Here is a 3,640-nt window from a genome sequence, read left to right on the forward strand (position 1 = left end):
TGCTTTTTAGTCAATACCCTATAAACTGGTTTCCTGAACATGGTCTGGAAAGAGATGACCTGAGGTGGATGAGGAAGAGCCAACTCTAAATGCCACCCTGGGCCGTGCTAGTGGTTGTCCTGCTGGGTGAGCGGCTAACATCATAAGCTTCTGAATTCCATTCCTATTCAGAATCCATGGAGTGGATGTGTCTTTTTCCAATTTATTCTGATGCATTCGCTAAATATTTATTAGACACCTTCAGGGAATCTCTATTTAGGAGTCTCTAAGAGGGGGCCCAGCTCATACAAATGTATCAACTAACACACCAGAAAACAGTGGAAGCCTTGTTGCTTCCTGGACTCTGACCATGGTGCTGAAACTAGAGTTCATGGCAACATCCCAGTCAGTGCTGTGGACAGCGACCACAGGAGCCACTCTCCTGGGGCTGGGGCCTGATAGAGGAAATAGGAATGGTGTCTAGATACAGGGCCAGGTCTGTTGGAGACCTTGAATAGGAGCCAAAATTGAACAGGATGTGGGGAAGCTCAAGAGGTTGATGACGTCTAGCTGGACCATGGAATGTTGCTATCTAAATAGGCAATTATTTTTGTACTCTACACCAGGGTAGGCAGACAGGAAGCCAAGAGGGAAGCATCCTGGAACTTCCTTCGTCATACAGAATACTGAGTTTCCTTGGCTGCTCATGAGTGTATATTATGAGTGCAATAAAGTTTGAGTGCGATTATCCCTTAGACTAAAATCTGTTTTTGCAAGAGTTTTCTTCAGAGAAATGGAACCAATCAGATGTTTATTTATGTATATACCTATCCTCTGTCTATCTAGCTATCTGTTTATTTCTCTAGGAATGTGCATTATGAATACAATATGGCCCCTCTTACTGTGGGCCAACGTTTGTTCCATGTTTTAGCCAATGAACCAGACAAACTGTTAGAGCCATGTCTAGCTCACTGAGATGCAACATTAAATGCAGGATCTCTCCTTAGTAGGTCCATATCAATAACATTGGCCTGGCTCAACTTTATCTTCCTTTCACCATTATCCAACACCCTTAATGTCCATTCGCACACATGTTCCCTAGATTTCTAGGTGTATAAATCAGAAGAACTTAGTAGTCACTTTGGAGTGTAGCACATTTCCCCATGGATCACACATTGAACCTATGGCTTAGAAGCAAAGATGGGTAGTGGGGGCGGATCCTGAGGAAAATTAGCACTGTCTTGCATGGCAACTGCCTCCGCGGAGGCCACTATTGTTTCCTCAGACAGTGCAGGGTTAATCTCCTCAGATGCACGGGGAGAGAATGCTTCCATTGTCAAAGAGCATGATTAAGGAACTCACTGTCCTTACCTTCATCAGTGTCTTTCACACATCCCTATTCCAAATGTCAAGATTCCACACCTTCCGAATCAATACCCTTAAAGTAGACACCCTTTGAGGCTGGGAATTCCATTTGTATTGTAATTTAGCCACTTGAAGGGTGAGTTTCTGGGTTTGCTTTTTCTTTTTCTTTTTTTTTTTTTTTGAGACAGAGTCTTGCCCTTGTCCCCCAGGCTGGAATGCAATGGCACGATCTCGACTCACTGCAACCTCCACCTCCTGAGTTCAAGCAATTCTCCTGCCTCAGCCTCTTGAGTAGCTGGGATTACAGGCACCAGCCACCACACCTGGCTAATTTTTGTATTTCTAGTAGAGACGGGATTTCGCCAAGTTGGCCAGACTGGTCACGAACTCCTGACCTCACATGATCTGCCCACCTCGGCCTCCCGAAGTGCTAGGATTACAGGCGTGAGCCACCGCACCTGGCCCCAGGTTTGACTTTTCAAAGGCCTCAGCCCTGTGGCTACAAATGATGAGTATCTTTTAGGGCAGATATAGAAGTCTTAGCTCATTTATGTTTGCACTTGAACTGAAAATTCAAATCTTTGAATTCATCCTCTTCTTTCCCCAACTTTGTCCAGTGACAACCCAGCCAATCTCATTATGCTCATTAGTTTTCAAAAACATTCAAAAGTATTATGTACATGATCACTCAGATTCTTTTTTTTTTTTTTGAGACGGAGTCTTGCTCTGTCGCCCAGGCTGGAGTGCAGTGGCATGGTCTCCGCTCACTGCAAGCTCCGCCTCCCAGGTTCATGCCATTCTCCTGCCTCAGCCTCCCAAGTAGCTGGGACTACAGGCGCCCACCACCACACCTGGCTAATTTTTTAGTATTTTTTTTTTTTTTAGGAAAGATGGGGTTTCACCGTGCTAGCTAGGATGGTCTCGATCTCCTGACCTCGTGATCCACCCGCCTCGGCGTCCCAAAGTGCTGGGATTACAGGGGTGAGCCACCGCACCCGGCCCACTCAGATTCTTATAAATGTTTGTTAGGCGTTTCCAATGATGACATTTGGTGTATCCCTATGGCCACATCATGTTATGCACTATCAACACTACTGGAAATGGAGTCATTAGTGTTTTTAAATCTAATCAAATTAGAAAGCCGATTTCAGAAACTTTGGATCCAATTCAGAAAACTCATCCTTAAAAATTCTGTTCCTTTGGAATCATCCCTGGAACCAAAATGATTTTTTTTTCAAGGGTTCTCCAGAGAAATTGAACCAGCAGAATGTTTATTTATGTGTCTATCTGTGTATCTATGTATCTATCTATGTATCTATCCATGTATCTATGTATCTATCTATTTATCTATCTATCTATTTATTTGTTTATCTATTCATTTACCTAGGAATTGGCTCATGTGATTGTAGGAGCTTGGTGAGTCCAAAATCTGCAGGACAGTAGAGTATCCTGGAGACTCAGGAAAGAGTTGTAGCAAACTAAAAAATCCAAAGACAATCTGCTGGAAGAATTTCTTCTTGCTCAGGGGAGCTCTCTGCTATTACTTTATTGTTATTTTGCTCACAAGACATGTATCATCCTATAACATATTGGATTTTCTATTAATTTTTGTTGTTGTCTAATATCCATCTTTCTCAACTATAATATTGATTCAATACAGACACTTTTTTAGAAGTCTTTCTGTCTTTTTTCTGATACATCTTATACACCAAGAATCACGTTTGACCCATTAGATACTTAATGTGTGCCCATGAAAACAGTGAATAAAAGTGTCTCCACTTCTTCCAAGTTTATTTTTAACACTGGAGCAAATGATTTCTACTTGATTCTCTCTTTTTTTCTCCCTTCCAGGCTGCCTTTAGTGCAAAGTCCTCAGAATGGAAAAATATTCTTGGGGGAGGCAAAACCTTAAGGTTGGCAAGAAACAAACCCCAGCCTTATCCTTACTTTCCTTCTCTCAGTTAGATCTCAATGTCCTTGGCTGCAATGCCGTCTCTACCTAGTCTACTTCAAGCTTCCCAGATATGATTTCCTCTCTAAGTTTCTCTGTCTCTTCCTGTCTCTGTCTCTCTATTGTTCTGTTTCTTTCCATCTCTCTCTTTCTTGCTCCAACTTTCTCAGTCGACTAAAACTAATAGCTACGAATAGCTTTCAGTAATTTGAACATTTCACGGATGTTTTTCTAGATCAACTGAAATCCCTATGCAAACACTGTCACTGTACTTGCAGATGAAATGATAATCACTTCCCGGCAAGAAAAGGATCTCATGGTAGTCTTAAGCCTTTATCTCAGGGT

General features: G+C 42.3%; 1 annotated feature.

Moving 5' to 3' along the window:
• Positions 275 to 475: a silencer, noted in NCBI's record as "peak3558 fragment used in MPRA reporter construct". NCBI's record gives its function as "represses an SCP1 promoter by STARR-seq MPRAs in K562 erythroleukemia cells {active_cell/tissue: K562}" and the evidence as "EXISTENCE:reporter gene assay evidence [ECO:0000049][PMID:32103011]".

The sequence above is a fragment of the Homo sapiens genome, chromosome 19 (assembly GCF_000001405.40).
Source record: "Homo sapiens chromosome 19, GRCh38.p14 Primary Assembly".
Lineage (NCBI taxonomy): Eukaryota > Metazoa > Chordata > Mammalia > Primates > Hominidae > Homo > Homo sapiens.